General features: G+C 46.4%; 1 protein-coding gene across 8 annotated transcripts in view, besides 3 other annotated features; it reads left to right on the forward strand.

Moving 5' to 3' along the window:
• The window catches only part of DPP6 (dipeptidyl peptidase like 6), a 1,146,153-nt gene that overhangs the window by 182,065 nt on the left and 945,983 nt on the right, over positions 1 to 18,105 (forward strand). The window lies entirely within an intron of this gene.
• Positions 5,178 to 5,369: a silencer, noted in NCBI's record as "fragment chr7:153632460-153632651 (GRCh37/hg19 assembly coordinates)". NCBI's record gives its function as "represses an EF-1alpha promoter that drives an FKBP-Casp9 reporter gene in an ReSE screen in K562 erythroleukemia cells {active_cell/tissue: K562}" and the evidence as "EXISTENCE:reporter gene assay evidence [ECO:0000049][PMID:32094911]".
• Positions 13,573 to 14,074: an enhancer, noted in NCBI's record as "H3K4me1 hESC enhancer chr7:153640855-153641356 (GRCh37/hg19 assembly coordinates)". NCBI's record gives its function as "activates a minimal SCP1, AML or CMV promoter by ChIP-STARR-seq in naive H9 embryonic stem cells {active_cell/tissue: H9 hESC(naive)}" and the evidence as "EXISTENCE:reporter gene assay evidence [ECO:0000049][PMID:30033119]".
• Positions 14,075 to 14,574: an enhancer, noted in NCBI's record as "H3K4me1 hESC enhancer chr7:153641357-153641856 (GRCh37/hg19 assembly coordinates)". NCBI's record gives its function as "activates a minimal SCP1, AML or CMV promoter by ChIP-STARR-seq in naive H9 embryonic stem cells {active_cell/tissue: H9 hESC(naive)}" and the evidence as "EXISTENCE:reporter gene assay evidence [ECO:0000049][PMID:30033119]".

Below are 18,105 nucleotides of genomic sequence, written 5' to 3' on the forward strand. Positions count from 1 at the left end.
AGAGTACAGAAGACAGATTTCCATCCTCTTCTTTGCCTTTCTTCTTAAAGCTAATTATCAGCTCAATCCTTTATTTCACCCCTTCCTACAACAAAATGGGATGCACTAGCATTATTCATATCCAGCCTTCTCTCAGTGTGTAGTCAGGGTAGTCACTGGTGGGTCATTGTCTTCATGGAAGATGGTGTGACTTCCATACTTAGAAACCAGCATCCTCTGATGTTCTCAGCAGGATATGGCTCCTATTGTATTGTATTGTATTGTATTATATTTTTCAATTGACAAAATTGTGTGTATTTTTCATGTACAACATGATGTTTTGAAATATACATACACTGTGTAATGGCTCCATCTGGCTAATTAACATACTGCACACCATGGCAACTACAGTTAATAACAATGTTTTGTATTTTGAAAATCTCTGAGAGAGTAGACTTTGTGTTCTTACCGAAAGACTTTTTAAAGGCATAAAACATGAGTGGTTCACCTGCTGGCTCTCACTAAATCCTCTCATGCAATTGGCTCAAAAATCATGGAATAGACAGTTCAGGGAGGCAGAGTTTGGCTTTTGGAATTGCTTTCAGGACCTGGGATATGTTGTAAGGACATGGTCTCTTGAATATCTGGAATCTGCAAAAAATGAGTAGTGGCAACTGGAGGGACTGGGTTTGGGGAAACATCTCTTGAGCTTGGCTCTCAACTAAGCCAACAGTGCCAACTCTGCTTCATAGGCGCAGCTTGTTTTAGAACAATGTGACTAATTTTTTTACACAGTTCTGAAAGCAATTCTCTAAAAGGAATTCCAAAAATATTTTGAACAGCAGCATTATTAAGATTAGCTGTGTTCCATCCCAAGGTGACTCCTGTATAGGAAATGACGCTCACTGGGATGTATCTGTCTTTCTTGGCCTTTCAGAAGCAGTCTCGGGAGATTATGGTCACACTTGTGTACTTGCAGCTTTCCCATAGAATTAAAAACCCTGACTAATTACCAGAAACTCAGCATTTAAAATCACTGTGGATAAGAGTCAGGCTAGAACTATAAGATCATGTTACCCACTTTCTGTAGGGAAGTATAATTCAGCATTTCAAATCAGAATGGAGGTGCTTCAAAGATTTGCCATTTTAAGAAGAAAAAAAAAAGGATAACATTCATCAGAGCATTTGCCAAGAGACAGTCTTAGCACTAAGGCAGCTCTCATCCTTCTGGAAGCTTGACAGTCTTACCATGATGGTGAATGAGACAAGTTTTACTATCATTTCAGGCTCATTGCTGTAAATGTAACCTTTCTTCAGGTGAATGTCCTAGGAAGAAAAATATTGTTCCTTACAGAAAAAACAAACAAAAAAACTAGTTAAAGTATTTCATGGGAAAAAAACTATTTAAATTCATTATTCTGTCAGATTCCGTGGAGGGCCTCCGAGGCTGCCAGAAACAGCCCTTTCTTTGAGCACTTATTTCTGTGATACCCTGAGTACACAAATTCCTTTTACAAGTGACTTTTCCTCAGACAACAATTGAATTCTAATGTGTTTATCTTGAACTTGTATTATGGCTGGTAGCCTAAGCATTGTATTTCAACAGCCTCTTAAAAGTGTCCATAATAGATGTGGAAAATCAAAGTGCCACACATCCAGTTGTTTTTCAGCTTTTGGTGCCTTAATTTGCATCGCCTGATCAGCTGAGGATCTGCTGAGTGCAGAAACAATCTTCGTGCACCGGCTAATTTATAGCATGGCAGAACAGTTGTTTTCTAGACAACTTGTAAGGAAACTGCTTCTCCTCATTTGTCTTCTGATCAGAGCTGCACAAGAACTCTTGATCATTTACAAATGACGAAAGTGAGACTTGTAAAAGGTGAGAGTAAATCTTCTATCTTATTCTCTTATTGTTTGCTACTTGGCTTTGATTTATCATTTTGTGCCTTTTTTTTTTTTTTTTTAACAGAATCTCATTCTGTCACCCAGGCTGGAGTACAATGGCGCCATCTTGGCTCACCACAACCTCCACCTCCCGGGTTCAAGCAATTCTCCTGCCTCGGCCTCCTGTGTAGCTGGGATTATAGGCATGTGCCACCACGCCTGGCTAATTTTTGTATTTTTAGTAGACACGGGGTTTCACCATGTTGACCAGGGTGGTCCCAAACTCCTGACCTCAGGTGATCTACCCACTCCTCGGCCTCCCAAAGTGCTGGGATTACAGGTGTAGGCCACTGTGCCCAGCCTATCATTTTGTTTATATGAACTATAAGCCACTAGCATCCACAAAGGGGGAAATGTCTTCTGATTGATAGAGCTTCCTTTTCTTTTTTGAACAAATGCTAAGAAGTAGCAACAGCCAAAGGACAAGAGCTGTATTGTCTTCTCTCATGTGTGGCAAGAACAAACAAGATTGAGAATCTGATTGCATTGAAGAGGCATTGTTCATTAAACTTCCTCCAGACCTGGGGAAGAGGATAAACTTCCTCCAGACCTGGGGAAGAAGATAATCTGTTCCACAGAAAATACAGAATGCATAACATTCAATGAACTTTGCACAGGGATCCCAGAAGTCTTGGCTGTGATCCAGGACCTACCATGACTTTCTTTGTTTCCACCTCCTGATGATCTTAACCCGTGTCATATAGTTTGGCTGTGTCCCCACCCAAATCTCATCGTGAATTGTAGCTCCCATAATCCCCACGTGTTATGGGCGGGACGTGGCGGGAGGTATTTGAATCCTGGGGGCAGATTTTTCCCATGCTATTCTTGTGGTAGTGAATAAGTCTCGCAAGATCTGATGGTTTTATAAAGGGGAGTTCCCCTGCACACGCTCTCTTGCCTGCCGCCATGTAAGATGTATCTTTGCTCCTCCTTCACCTTCTGCCGTGATTTTGAGGCCCCCTCAGCCACATGAAACTGTGAGTCCATTAAACCTCTTTTTCTTTATAAATTACCCAGTCTCAAGTATTTCTTCATAGCAGTATGAAAATGGACTAATACACTGTGTAACCTCTAAGTTTCCTCAACGGTAAACAAGATTTTTTTTTTGACCAATGATCTCTAAAATTGCATTTGGCTTTAATATTCTGTGATTTCATGAAAATTTATATTAAATTTGCCTTATGTTCCATACAGCTCTAAGCTGTCTCTGGCTAAAATAGGGAAACATTGTACAGGCACTCCCAGGAAGGGAAGGACGCTCCCCTTTTGTTCTGTCCAATTTGGGTAAACCTTTGTCTATGTTTATTTATAATAACTAGAAGGAAAAACAGTACAAGAATATTCTGTGTCTTTATCAACAGCACGAACACTTCTGCCATCTTAAATAAGTTAATTTCTCTGGATGCTTCACTATCTGGCGTTGCACCAGCTGCTGTGTGGCTCTTTAATAGGCATAGAGGAAACAAGACTATAAGCCTTTCAGATCATGCAATGATTTCTCTCTACCACCCCATCCTTTACCTTTTGTTAAAATATTTGCAATGCCCTTCACATTGCCACATTCTCTCTCTCTCTCTCTCTCTCTCACACACACACACCTGCATAGAAACACACACCACAGGTCGTCTCCCCTTCCCTTTTAGTTCCCCCCCAGCAGGCAGATTTCTCTCCCTAGCCATGTCCTGTGCAGCCTACACTGTGCCGCATCCTGGGTTGTTTAGAGTCCCATAGGGCATGGATTGGCCAGCCACAGCCTGCAGGCCGAGCAGGCCCCCAATGTGTTTTTATAAATCATGTATCGTGGATCGCGTGGGAACACAGATGCTGTTTGTGTTCATGCTTTGTCAGTGGCTGGTGCAACAACAGCAGAGTTCAGTTGTGAGGGACAACCATGTGTTTGCTGCAGAGCCTAGGCTATTTACTTTCTGGGCCTTTGCAGATGAAAGAGGACAGCCCTGCTGTAGGGTGACGCCATCATCATCTCTAAGGACTGCTCTCAGGGACACCATCCCTGAAGTGTGAGGGATTCAGGGGCTCCCCTCATCTAATTTGAAGCACCTTTTGTTTTTCCCTGTGGGGCCTGGCGACAGGGTACTTCTGTGGCTCAGCAGGCAGCAGGCAGGTGAGCGAGCTGTGGCCAGGTGCTGGGAGGCCTCCCTGTGGCCACATGTAGCCTTCGAGGGAATGTACTCTGCAGGGGTGTGAAAGCGCCCCTTCTCCTTTTTTTTTTCCATCAAGGCTGTTCTTGTTTATTTTGACCAGATAATAAAATAACAGTGTGGAATAAAATAATAGTTGTGTAAAGGAAGATAGTTGAGGTTCTAAGGCCAGCATTTGAGGTTCTCTTCCACATTTTGGGGTAACTCATGTAAATACAATATAAGCATAACTTCTGGAAGCTCATTACCCTAAATTTGACCTGCTCTTTCCCAACTTATTATAGTTCTAGAGTGTCTATTTCTGTAAAATATAGGGATATGCCCAAGATATTCATCTGAAGGATCACTGCACCTGTGTGTGTACACACTCACGTACATACAAACACGAGCAGACACTCACAGCTGTCATCTGGAAGAGGAGAGTTTCTAGGACCACAGAGACAGCAGTGCAGACCTTGTTTTGCTACAAAACCCACTTGCAGGAAACGAGGAAGCAGAACACTGCCCAGATGCTTTGCTGAGTCAGGGCAGCGGGAGACTGTCTGTGAGCTGCACAGTCTCAGCATATGGTGACCAGGATGGATCCTGGTCTGCAGGTCACATGAGCCGACACTGCCAGTACCAGGGAGGAGGCTCAGTGCCAGCACGTTTGGATGGAAATGAAAACAAGGCTTCGGCACTGAGGTAGCGGAGGGTCCGTCATAGCCCAGGGTGCCATCCTGGCTGGAGGTGCAGGGACAGAAGGCCCGGGGGAGGAGCTCAGGGACCAGCCCCAGGGATGGCGAATGTCCTGACATAACGCTGTGCCCATCCCAGTGGGTGCTGAGGAAGCTGAACGGCAGTGCTGACTCTGGGCACAGTGATAGCCAAACAAACTCCTCACTTGCTGGGCTCTGCGGGGCAGACAGTGAAGGGGAGCTGCAGGTCAGCAGACAGAGAGGGACCAGTGTCCCGTGCATGCCAGAGAAGGGGGGGGACGTGCCCGGTAGGAGGGGGAGTGAGTCATGAGGGGCCCTGTCCGAGAGGGATGCCGGTCACCACACCGGGCTCCTCTAACCCTAGCGTTAGTCATGTGCCCTCAGCTGGAAAGTAGACAACTTCTCATGTCAGCGTGGCACATCCCAGCATTGAAATCCCACGTACACCGGCCTAACCTCCCACCCAGGCTTCTCTCCCTAACCTGCCGCACAGAGTGGAACCTGCCCCTGGCTCAGCTGGTCTCCCTGCCGTCCGAGGCCCCGTTGGCCCCTCTCGATTATGATCCAGGCTTAGTGGATGGCAGCACAGTGCATGGTACATAAAGAAATGGCATCATGCTTGGTACATGTCATTTTGTTTATCCTTTACAGCAGCCCTGGGAGGTGTGCGACCTTGGTCCCCTCTACAAATGAGGAGACTCAGGCTCCGTTGCAGAGGCACAGGGGCCCCTGGGCTCACAGCCTGGCTCAGACCCCAATCTGCAGACTTCCCCACCACCACGCGCTGCTCTCCCGTTCACCTGACTCCAAGCTTCCAGTCAAAGTCGGCTTTACAAGGCTTTGGTGGGCTCCCCAGCCCACACCTGTGCCCCCTGATATTCTAAGGGCGGTTATCACTTGTAGCTAAGACCTGGGGCTGGTTACATGTTGCATCACTCTCCAAAGGCCTGGCCCGGAGCTGTGCTCATGATCATCAACATGCATGTGATGATCTAATCAGCAGTCTGAAATGTTATTTAATTTTCTTTTATTTCCAAGAAATCTAATGTCACGTGAAGCCCTTAGTCCAGCACGGGGCTGGGTGCAGTTCCCTTAAGGGGGAATGTAAAGCTATTCTGTCTGTACCGGCATCTGCGCTCTAATACTCCCTAGAAAATAAGTAGGAATCACAGCAAAGTGCAATAGGATGCAAGTTTTGTCTCCTAAGAAGCTTATAAACTGGTGGGTGGAGACAAGGCATTAATATCTGGATGGGACAAGCAGGGCAGTGATGCAGAAAAAAACACCTCTCAGTATATGAAATGTTCTCCAGGAGGTCAGATGATCCCTGTCAGGAGCTGAGGAACTGAAGACAGGCCAGCAGGATGGCTGGAGCGGCCAGGATGGGGCTGGGGTGGGGAACGTCCTGCAGCTGTTCTGGGGAGACCGCGAGCTCGTCACCCCACGGCCTCCACCTCTTTTCAGTGCATAGATAGACGGTGTTCCCATCTTCCCGCACGTAGACAGAGTCTGGGACTGAGTTAATGCCACTGAAATGTGAGAGGAATAGCCGGGCGTGGTGGCTCATGCCTGTAATCCCAGCACTTTGGGAGGCCGAGACAGCCGGATCACAAGGTCAGAAGATCGAGACCATCCTGGCTAACACGGTGAAACCCCGTCTCTACTAAAAATACAAAAAAAAAAATTAGCTGGGCGGGGTGGTGGGCGCCTGTGGTCCCAGCTACTCGGGAGGCTGAGGCAGGAAAATGGCGTGAACCTGGGAGGTGGAGCTTGCAGTGAGCCGAGATCAAGCCACTGCACTCCAGCCTGGGTGACAGAGTGAGACTCCGTCTCAAAAAAAAAAAGAAATGTGAGAGGAAGTGACGCGTGACCCTTCAGTACTGCCTCCAGAGCCAGGGATGGTACGCTTCTGTCGTTTATGCCAACAGTGTTTGTGGGACTTTGTATGGCAGCCAGAGTGGACTCACCCACAACCAGAGTTCCACAGGGAGAGAAAAACTCAAGGTCAGGACTCAGAAATCTTGATCAACGGACTTACTTGCAATTGGCCTCTAGGCAGGTGTGGTCGCTGGTGGACTTAGGGTCCCATGGAGGACCTTGGGGAGGCTCAGATCCCAGGAAAGCAGCTGGGGAACCAGGGCGGCTATGAGGAGAACCCCTTGACTCAGGAAAGTAGTCTGGTCTCAAGTTCTAGGGCCACCCTTAGGATAGCCAGAGGAAGGCTAGAAAGCCCTGTGGGCCTCCAGCTTCCAGCCTTCCAAAAGTGAGGAGGTGGGGCTGTAAGATTACGCTGGCTGATGGCTGTCGCAAAACACTAAGTTTATTACATAAAAGCCTCAATTCCCTCCTAACTATCACCAAAACAGATGAGTTGTGGTGTCCAGCTCATCATCATTGAAGAAAGAACACCTCCTTTCTTCAATTTGTTCTTTTGTGTTTTCTTCCCTCTTCAGAGCTAACTTTTTTTTTTTTTTTTTTTTTTTTTTTTTTTGAGACAGTCTCACTTGGTTGCCCAGGCTGGAGCACAGTGGCGCGATCTCGCCCACTGCAACCTCTCCCTCCCGGGTTCAAGTGATTCTCCTTCCTCAGCCTCCCAAGTAGCTGGGATAACAGGCGCCCGCCACCATGCCTAACTAATTTTTGTATTTTTAATAGAGATGGGGTTTCACCATGTTGGCCAGGCTGGTCTCAAGCTCCTGACCTCAAGTGACCATCTGCCTCGCCCTCCCAGAGTGCTGGAATTACAGGCATGAGCCACTGTGCCCAGCCCAGAGCTACCTTTGATGCCCATTTTCATCATGTTCAGCTTGGTGTTGGGGAAAGCACACCAGGAGATTCCTGCCCAGGGATGGCCCTAGGACAGGTCCTGGAGCTGCCCCTCAGAGTGGCCCACTGCATCACGTGAAGCAAGAACGCACCCTTTGGTTAAGCCTGTTGGAATTACACATGCCAGATCCCATTCAACTGAGGGAAAGGATGACATAGGTTCAAAAAAATATATGACAGGTGCTACGAGGGCTGTCCTAGTTCTCTCTTAGTAAGGAGAACCTCTGAGACAGGGGCAAGAAGCTCCTTCCTGCAGTGTATTACATCCTATTCAGAGTCCCTTTCTCTCTGAAGAATATGATGAGCTCCCTGCAAAATCTGATCTCCTCCCTGGTTGGAAGGAATGAGTGGAACCTGAAAAGTGTGGCATTTTTATTGTCCCTGGAATCTGATCTATTACCTTTTCTGTCCTCTGCCTTTCATCTTCGTTCTACTCATGCGTTTGCCCCAGATGAGCAGGTAAGCTTTTCAGATCTGGGGATTGGGGACTTCCCATTTTAGATGGAAGTCCTGCCATTGGGTTGGCTGAAAAGGTGCGTAAGGAATCTGTCAGATTTATCACATGGAAGTCTAGGGCAGGCACTGAAATCCTTTTAGGAAAAATGAGTTTCCAGGGTAGAGACCAAACCTCTAAGTCTTAAAGAGAGCAAAGCAAAGAAGTTGACATTTAGATCTTTCAGCAAACCATGAAGATTCTCTGCCTGTAGGTGACTAGATGCTAGAAAGAGCCTAATGGATGAGTTGAGAAAGAAAACAGCCGAGTCAAGATTGCTAATGCGTTCATTACATGCATGTGAGTGCTTTGCTGTAGAAAGTTATCGACGTCCAACCCCATGAGACCATTACTGTCCCATTTAGCCTGACTTCTCTCACACGGCCTCCTCTCGCCTTCCCTGCAACTTCATTTTTAGTTTCGTATTCCTCAAGACCTATCCCTTAAAGAAGGAAAGCAAAGAATGGTGGAAAAATTCACATCCATAAAAGGGTTTCTAAAGCTAGGAGCCTTGCTAAGCTGCCTGAGTTGTCACATTGCAGAGTGCACGGAATGGCCGGCTGAGTCTCATCAGTGTGGTGGTGGTTACACACGCTCATTTTGCCTGATCAAATCGTTTCATTAAAAATTCTTAAGCTGTAGACACAAAAGTACTTTTTCAAATACATCAGTGGCAATACAGAAGTAGACTGTAATTCATTTGTGTGCACTTATAATACAACACACCTCCCCAAATAAAATGCATTTTTTTTCTGGGTGTTCACTGCAATTTGCTACAATCAGAAAAATCATAAAGGGTAGAATGATGTCATTTTTTAATATATTATTTTCATTTTTCAATGCCTCGAAGAAGGTGCATTAAGATCATCCATTACCTTAGCGATAGTACTGTTAGTCCCATACTTCATATACAGTACAAATTCGTTATTATCAGTTAATATTGACTTAGTGCTCAAAGTGTTCTAGATAACACACAGTCTATAAAGTACAAGCGTTAAGTCACAGCCATTTGCAATTTCTCTTCTGACTGCCAAGAATTAATCTCTTATTCAACAAATATTGTTAAGTGCCTGCTCTGTGCCACAGTTGGGAGCAAAACAGACATGGCCTCGGGGCTCAGAGAGTGCACAGCTTTCCAGTCTAGCAACAAAGTCAGACGTTAAACCAACAATTACTGAAATTAGTCTTAAATTATAGTTGTGACAGAGACACAAAGGTGAGTGTGGGGCACTGTGAGGAGTCTGAAAAAAAAGGACCTCACTCAGGCTGGGGTTAGGGATTCCTCCCCAAAGACTGGTTTCTTTGAATGGTTTCATTCATTTGCTTGCCATTTATTTGAATGTGTCAAGTCTTGTGCTAGATTTAAGAAGATAAGAAGGTGAATAAGACAGAATTCTGATTCTCAGGGAACTCCATGCTCTCATATGAAAGACAGCTATGAAAGCAAATAATTGCACAGACTTTCATCATATCACTTTATTGCATTTTGCTATGAAAGATACTATGCTGACATGCCTCCTGGAAAGAGGAACCAGATGGAAGCTACACAGATTAGATAAACCAGCTGGATCTTAGAAGATCAGTTGATAACATGGCAGTTCATACAGCATGAAGTTTTCTCTTACTAAGCTAAAGTCGAGAAACATGCCCGATCGTAAGGAGCATCATCAAAGTGGCAGAAGGTGTAAAGGGAGGTTAGTGTTTTGACTGTATGCTGGGCCAGCCAGGACAAGACATGGCATGGCTCCTTCTCACAAGTAAAATCATGCTAACAATGCACTGTGGCCCTCTAGCTTCCTCCTCCCTCTTTTGAGTCTGTCTGCAGGGAACAGGCTTTTACAGTTCCAGGACATAGGATGCAGAAAGCACCCAGAAGGAAAGAGGGAAAACTCATTTTGTCAGTCCACCGAAAAGCTGGTGCTGACCTAGCCATGACAGCACTTCCTTCCAAACCAGAGGATCTATTTGAATATTGGCCAAGGGTCACAGACATGGAGTTCCCATATATGAACCCTCCGTTTTGGCTTTGGTGGGATTGATATGGACAAAACACGCCGCAACTTAAGTGTTGAAGTCAAGTGTTGAAGTCAAGTGCAGAGTCACTTGACTCTGTAGCAATATTGTCTCAACAATAGACTAAGAATTACTTGTGAGTGGTTTTGCACTGAAATAGTCTCTATGAGGTTGTACTAGGTGGGCCCTAATTTTATAGCTAGGGGAACTAAGGTCCCAGAGAGGTGAGCTGATTTACTCCATGTTTCATGACACACAGAAACGGGGATGGGACCACGGTCTACCCACCCCAGCTGCAGTGACTGCACCATGGGAACTATTTCCCCTTGCATCTCCCTGTAGGACTCTGATGATTCATGTTGACATGTGTTAAATGCCAGAGGTGAAGACTTTGACCCATAGAGAAGAGAGCCCACCTGGGGACTAAGCAGGACTTAGTTACCACTCCAGCTGCCACCTGGAGTAATCTTCCTGTCTCTACTCTTTAAGCCCCAATTCATGTAAGATCTGAATAAAAGCGGTGTGTTCGCCAAGCATATGCGCAGCTTCAAGACAAGGTGTCTGGCCTTTTCTTTCAACCAGATTGCAGCTCCGAAATCTCTCCTGTAGCGAAACCTGGAACTTCCATAGACATTGGTGCTCCCATCTCTGCACATGGGAGAGGGCACAGTCTGTTTTCCAGGAGTGACTGATTGCCTTCAATAGATCAGGAAACTAACCGCGGACAGAATCAGTTCTACACTGATTTTATACTGTGAATGTTTAAAGTGAGGCGTTGTCCCTAACGGAAGGGTTAGAGAAATGTGCATTGCTTAATGGGTTTCTTATGAAGATTAAATGAGTTCGTGCATAGCAGGCATGGAACACACAGCAGTGGCTAGCACAAAAATGAGCCCTTGATGTGTTGGAATGTGTTGTCATTGTAAACCAGCCACTGTTGGCACCAGACAGCCTCGGGGTGCTAGAGCTGCCTGTGACCCACGAATGCCATGTGAACAAACTGACACAGCCATGGCATTTTCTCTAAAGCAAACACATGAACTCAGCAGGTCCCTGACCACAGATGTCCATGGTGGGAGGTGGTGCTGGGTGATGTCTGTAATGAAGCAGAGATTCCTGGGCCCCTCTGGGGTTTGGTGGTTAACAATTCATCCCAGTAGTCCAGGCCTGGATCCCACAGCCATGGAATGATTCCCTGGCAGGACACTGCTGGAGAGAGAGGGCCCCACAGACTCCATCACTTGGGTGACCTTTGGTATAAAAGGAAGGAAGAAACAGGAAACAGGAGGTGACTGCATTTATCTACAGCAGCCTCAGCTGTCTCTTGGCCTCTGGGGTCCATGCTGCAGCTCTGAGTCTTTTTCAGAAACGGGAATTCAAAGGATAAGGTTTTAAATCATTGACCATAGAGCTGAAGGTGTATCAGGTACACAGCAAGGTAAGAAATGCAGTCCCAATCTTTTCACTGGAGTTTCTGCATGGATAATCAGAGGAGTTTTCAGAACATGCTAGATAAGAAACAATCTCTCTTGCACTCCTCTCTCCCTCTCTCTGTTTCTGTTTGTCTCTCTCTCCTTTCCTACACACTTCCCCAGGAAAGTTCGATTTCCATAAGCTCTTGTAGCTGCATATTTTACCTGTGGCTGGGAAAAAAAAGGAATGGGTAGCAAGCCAAGCACCTCTGAAGCGTTTCTGCAATGGCAACTTAAATCTTCTGTGAAAAGATGCTGGATAGAGAATACTGGATGAGCTGCTCCAGTGTGGAATGGTGCCTGAGGAATTGCTATTCCCCACCTCTATTCAATTTAGCACCACCGTTGTGCATGTTTCGATTAAAAAGAGGAACAAAACATTTATGTACTCATTCAATTCACCGCTGCCTTTTTATCACGCATCTTCTGTGTGCCAGGCACCACCCCACGCCTGGCATCCTGCCAATGGCCATCCTTCCCAGGGCTGGATTTTGCCTCTCCTCTCCTTGCGACTTACAAGAATTTGCATTTAAACTGCACACTTCACCTGTTGGTTGATACCCAAAACCTTCTTAAGAGGGAAGAAAGCTTCTTCATGACATCCTCAATGACACGTAAGTGCCAGTTCCCTGTGAGATCTTGAGGGTGTGGACAGGTGGCCCTCAGAGGCATTGGCTGGAATTGGATCCTTTGCTGAATGCTGCATACTTTAGGAATGGACGGAGGAGCTTCCTGAGGTGGAGAGGAGGTCAGTAATGGGGAGGAGAGAGGGCAGGAAGGGAGGCAGGAGACCGGTCTGTAAAATCAATTTTCCCAACTAAAAATGTAATGTCAGGAGGTAGCTGTGCTCCAGGCTGCTCAGATGTACATCTAGGCCTGTCTGTGTGACACTCTTGCCAGAGCGGGCTGTGTCTTGTGCAGTGGGCACAGGAAGGTGGGATCCCTGGGCTGCTCACGAGGCCGCCCCACACTCTGTTCAGGAGACCTAGTTATGAGACGGCTGCCTGTGGTTGCCTACCATTCTGCCTCTTCCCTGCCACCTCATCAGCACTTTTACCTGTCGCCTGCTTATTTAAACACGTGGTCCAGCAATCACAGTGAGTGTGGTGCTGACTGTTGAATGCCCATGCTCAGGGAGGCCCTTCACAAATTCTCAGCAAGGACTTCTCTCTGATGCATGGTTGACCTGATGCTAATGGTCAGCTGGCCCCAGCGACACTCTGGCATTATTTTACCCCCTCTACACTTTCCCTAGATTCGCCTTTCCATCCCCTTTTTGACCGTTCTGATTTTGTAAAAGCCTTGTTTTTCAGGAAATACCAATATACCCTTAATAAAGTTTTATTAATAAGGTGTTTAAAAAGGACCCAGAGTCAATGATTTCATCAATTAGAGCACGAAATACAAAAGTCTGAAGATCCAAAGGAATGAATCTCTAATGGCCAGCTCATGACACTATGTGGCAGCTAGGGAGATATTTTCGGGCAGAGGTCTTCCCTTGCCTCTCAAATTCTAGAAGTAAACATCTGTTGATTTTGTAATCAACAAAATGTATTATATGTCCGAGAGAGTGACTTGTCTTGGAAATTTCAGACATCAGATCAATTCGGTACTTGAGTCCTATACCAGGGCCACTAAAGGACTTCCAGTCCAAATTCCATCAAATCATGTAGAGCCCTCTTTTTTGTCCTTCTCCATTTGCTCAGCTGTTTTTCCTCCCAAGTAGGGAGGGCAGGGCTGGGAAGCTTCATCAAGATTTCCTTTGACACGCTCTGGCTTCAGATAGTGATTTACTTTCTAATGACGTGCCTCTGTTTTCATTCCCTTTCCAGTGTCAATCTCAGTTGCAAACACCCCCAGGAAGCCACACACTCAGCTCCATTCAGCTCCAGCCGTGGTGTGAATGAACAAGGAAGTGAGAAGAGTTTTTCATTGCTTATTGCCAGAAAAATGTGTCTGCCAGCTTCAGTGTTTATAAAAAGCAATTTTGCCTCCCCCTAAGCTAGCAGTGTTTAATAAACATGTAATAGAGAATGTAGGTTTAATATTTAAGCATCTCTATGCCCCGAGTCTGAGTGATGCTCTGCTACATTCTTTCTGCAAAAGGGAATTTAAAAGAATGATGAGATCCAGCCCCGGCCTGAAACAAAGGCAGTTCCAGTGGAGTCTGCAGGGTTCACTCTTTCCTTCCCTCTCTCCTCAGATAGCTGCTCCACGGTTTCCCCACTTAGGCAAATGAGCATCTGCTGTGTTCATGGAAATCGGTCCAAGTAACACAATAGAGGCTGCTGCTCCTGGTGTGTGAAATCATCCCCCGAATTATCAATTGAAGGAAGATTGCATCGTAAAGCCCTGGAGCACGAGCCTCGTTAGCACGCTCCTTCCAGCACAGCCGGGGCTCGGTCCGTCTGGCCATGTATTTGGCAACCAGTGTGTGCTCCGGCCCACCCTCAACTAATGGGTGTTTGCATGGGTGTGCGTTTGTGCATGTGTGTTCACCGCCACTAGAGTGAGTTCTTTTTTGGCAGTTTGTTTGAACATATACTCACCCGAGGCGTGTGCTTGGACCTGTAGATGGACAAAAGAGGAAGGCAGCAGGGCCCTGCCGGGTCATGTGATGTTGCAGCGGTGTTCTGGAGGACACCAGGAGGGATGGGAAGGCAGCGAGAAGAGCGTGTTGGGGACTGCGGTGGTGACTTCTCAGCCACCTTCCTCGAAGGGGTGGCCTTCTCCTTAGAGGGATAGCCAGTCTTGCTGTGACGTGGACTGGGAGGGTAGTGCCAGCACACAAGGAGGAGGCGGGTGTGGTGGGAGGCCTCACAACACACGGGGCCTTGCAGGCCATAACTAGGAGGGACCATCAGTTTCTTATTTTTGTGTGGGTTTTTTTTTTTTTTTTTTTTTTGAGACAGAATTTCGGCCCACTGCAACCTCTGCCTCCCGTGTTCAAGCAATTCTCCCACCTCAACCTCTTGAGTAGCTGGGATTACAGGCACACACCACCACGCCTGGCTAATTTTTGTATTTTTAGTAGAGATGGGGTTTCACCATGTTAACCAGGCTGGTCTCAAACTCCTGACCTCAGTTTCTTGTTTTTGAAAGATACTCAGGATGAGGCTGCAGACACAGGAACTGTCTTTCTCTTCTTTGAACAAACCAAGCTGTTTTTTGCCTCAAGCGCTTTGCGTTCTCTGTTCCTGCTGCTGGGAGCACCGCTGTGCTTTGCCCTGTCCAAGATGTGTTCTTTCCCACAGGTGTTGGCTTAGGGTAACTGACTCAGGAGGGTCTTCCCGGCAGACTGCAGGCTCTGAAGGGTCACCCACCCTTGCGTACACTCATGTTGTAAATGAGTTTTGACCCTGCTGGTGCCAACAACTGCTGCTCTGTGTGTTCTTTTAGAATGCTGCCTGGCTTGGAATGATCTTGTTTCTGTTTACTTGTTGATTGTGCATCTGCTTTCTTCTCTTTTTGTATTTTTTGTGAGAAGACAGGTCCATCTCCCTAGTTTTTCCCTCTACGGAAGTTCCCAGCCATGCCTGGTACAGAGCATGCTACCAATTAATATATTTCTAATGGAAGCCAGAAGCTGGGAGTCCAATCAGAAGGCGAATTGAGGTATCACAGAGCAGGAAGAATGGCTGCTTGGACTACATAGAGGCAGTGGAGATGGAATGAAGAGGATGGGTATGTTTTGAGAGGAAATGGATGACTTGTGAGACTAGAAATTTGGGAAGTTAGAAGGATAGAGGAAATGGTCTCTAGAGAGCACCTCGTATAAGAATAAGAGGCACAGGGTTGGCGGTGGAGGCGCTTGGAGGCACAGAAGGGTGCTCTTCCTACTTTTTTCTTATCGTAATTCTCCTCTGAGGATACAAGTAAAGGTCTTATTCATGTGGATAAAATTGCCAAATTTTATGTTTCTCAGAAGCAGTTTTGTGAATCAGTAAGTGTGAAGGAAATAGCCCAGGTATTAAAGGGAGGAATCTGGAAAGGTTTGGGCCGAGCAGCTTCCAGGGGCTTTGTGGCCTTGGGTTATCCTTGTCCTCGTCTAACCTGCATGCCGTGTTGACTGAGTATGGAATTTTCCCCAAATCTTTGTTTTTATTGACGTAGAACACGATTGATTTTCAATCAGTTGATCAAATTCCTAAGTGGAGCACACTGGAATGTGTGTGGCCACCTTCTGAGGGTTCATGAAAAAGAAGTGGAAGGATTCCAAGAGCAGCCAGGCTTTCACCTTCATTGAAGCTGCAGCCTCGTCCATCAGAGGCACAGACACAAGAAACATAGCTCTGAGCAGAAAACACAGAATACAGCTGTTACTGGAAAGGGGTCCAGTCCAGACCTGAAGAGAAGGTTCTTGGACCTCACGCAAGAAGGAATTCAGGGCAAGTCTATAGAGTAAAGTGAAACTTGATTAGAGAAATAAAGAAACAAAAGAATGGCTACTCCGTAGGCAGAGCAGTGGCATAGGCTGCTCAATTGAGTTAGTTATTTCTGGATCATATGCTAAACAAGGGCTGGATCATTCATGAGTTTTCCAGGTTGGGGCAGAGATTTCACGGAACTGAGAGTTCCTCCCCATCTTAGACCATATAGGGTAATTTCTGGATGTTGGCGTGGCATTTGTAAACTGTCATGGTGCCGGTGGGAGTGTCTTTCAGCATGCGAATGCATTATAATTCAAGCAGTGAGGGGTCACTTTCATTGACATCTTGGTTTCGATGGGTTTTAGACGGCTTCTTTACTATATCTCATTTTATCAGCAGGACCTTTGTGACTTGTATCTTGTGCTGACCTCCTATCTCATCCTGTGACTAAGAGCACCTAACCTCCTGGGAATGCAGCCCAGTAGGTCTCAGCCTTGTTTTACCCAGCCCCTATTCAAGATGGAGTCACTTTGGTTCAAACGCCTCTGACATAGCTGAGCATTAAGTACCATAGCAGTTTGGATAAGTGGGAAGTAATTGATATGGATGGGCACACCAGGTGGGGAGGACTTTCTGGAAATAGTGATACATTGATGGTAAATACGATTTGGCTGTGCCAAAAAGATGGAGAATTTTAGGCAGAGGGAGCAATTTGGTCAAGTGTGAAGACAGAGCTGACCATGGAGCAGTTTAACTTTTCCCGACATAAAATGCGAATTTCCAAGCTGAAGAGGAGCGGATCTAGAGCCCAAGGTGGCTAACGCTGCCATAAGCTAGTTTCAGTCCCGTCTTTGCTGACGGTGTGATATTCCTGAGGCCACCGGGGATGATTCACAAGGGTGTGCCGTGATTCCCTTTCACAGAAGCAGTTTAAAAATAAAATCTCTTGCACTCCCTCTTAGCCAAAGGAATCCATTGAAAGCCACCAATGTACTTCGCTAGCAGTAGAAGCGTCCCATTTGGTGGATGATGCCTTTCAAACCAGGATCACTTACTGCATTCCTTTCCCAGAGCTGCCGTAACCAGGGACCTAGACCTGGCAATTTTAACAGCGGAAACCTACTGGCTCACAGTCTTGGGAGCCTGTAGGTCTGAAGTCAGAGCATCGGCTGGGTTCATTCCAGGGCTGCGAGGGAGGGTCTGTCTCAGGCCTGTCTTCTCGGCTTGTAGCTGGCTGTCTTTGTGTTCACCCAGCATTCTGCTTTGTAGAGGAGTAAAAATAAAATTTACCTCTATCTTCTTAAGTTCTCTAGCCAGGCCCTATAAACTAGACTGGCAAAAAATAATAATAATAATAAGAGAAAATTACACAGATTTACTTAATAAGTCCCATGTGATATGGAAGCCTTCCTAAGGCAGTGGAGACCTGAAGAGACAGTGAAGACCTGAAGGGACAGTGGGGACCCGAAGAGACAGTGATGCCTCAGCGCTTTCTGTAGTATGCTGGATGAGGACGCAGAGGTCATGGGGAAGCGTGACAGGACAAAGGGAGTGAGCTGAGGGTGATCGGTGGGAACCGCAGCAAGGTCTGTGTGCTCAGCCTCCTCCCGGCTGCCTCTGCCTTTGGAGATGGGGATGCTGTCTCCAGTGGGGCATTTGGAGGGTGCCGCTCACAGGTGGGTCCTAGGACCTCCTTCTGGGGAGGCGGGGAAGTCGGATGGTCCTTCCTGCGCCTGACACTGCTCACATTCTTCCAGCTTATAATATTCAGTATGCCAAGGTAGCATCTTTGTGGTAGTGTGTCCTGAATCACACCAGCCTCTGTGCCAGTCTGTGTCCACATTTCCCCTTCTCATAAAGACACTGGCATGTTGGATTAGAGCCATACCGGTGACCTCATGGTAACCTAGTTGCCTTTGGAAAGACCTTGTCTTCAAATAAGCTCATATTCTGAGGTATTGGGCATTGGGACTTCAGCATATGAATTTGAAGGGATACAATCAACTCATAAAATTGCCATGATTTTTTTTCAAATAAGCTGCTATTTACTTTTAAAAAATAAAGTCCAATACTGTGGCCATATTGCTTTCTGTCACCAGCAGGTGGCATTTCTATAGTCCAGGGATGGCAAAGGAAGAGCCGAGTGCTTTC

This window comes from Homo sapiens, chromosome 7 (assembly GCF_000001405.40).
Source record: "Homo sapiens chromosome 7, GRCh38.p14 Primary Assembly".
NCBI lineage: Eukaryota > Metazoa > Chordata > Mammalia > Primates > Hominidae > Homo > Homo sapiens.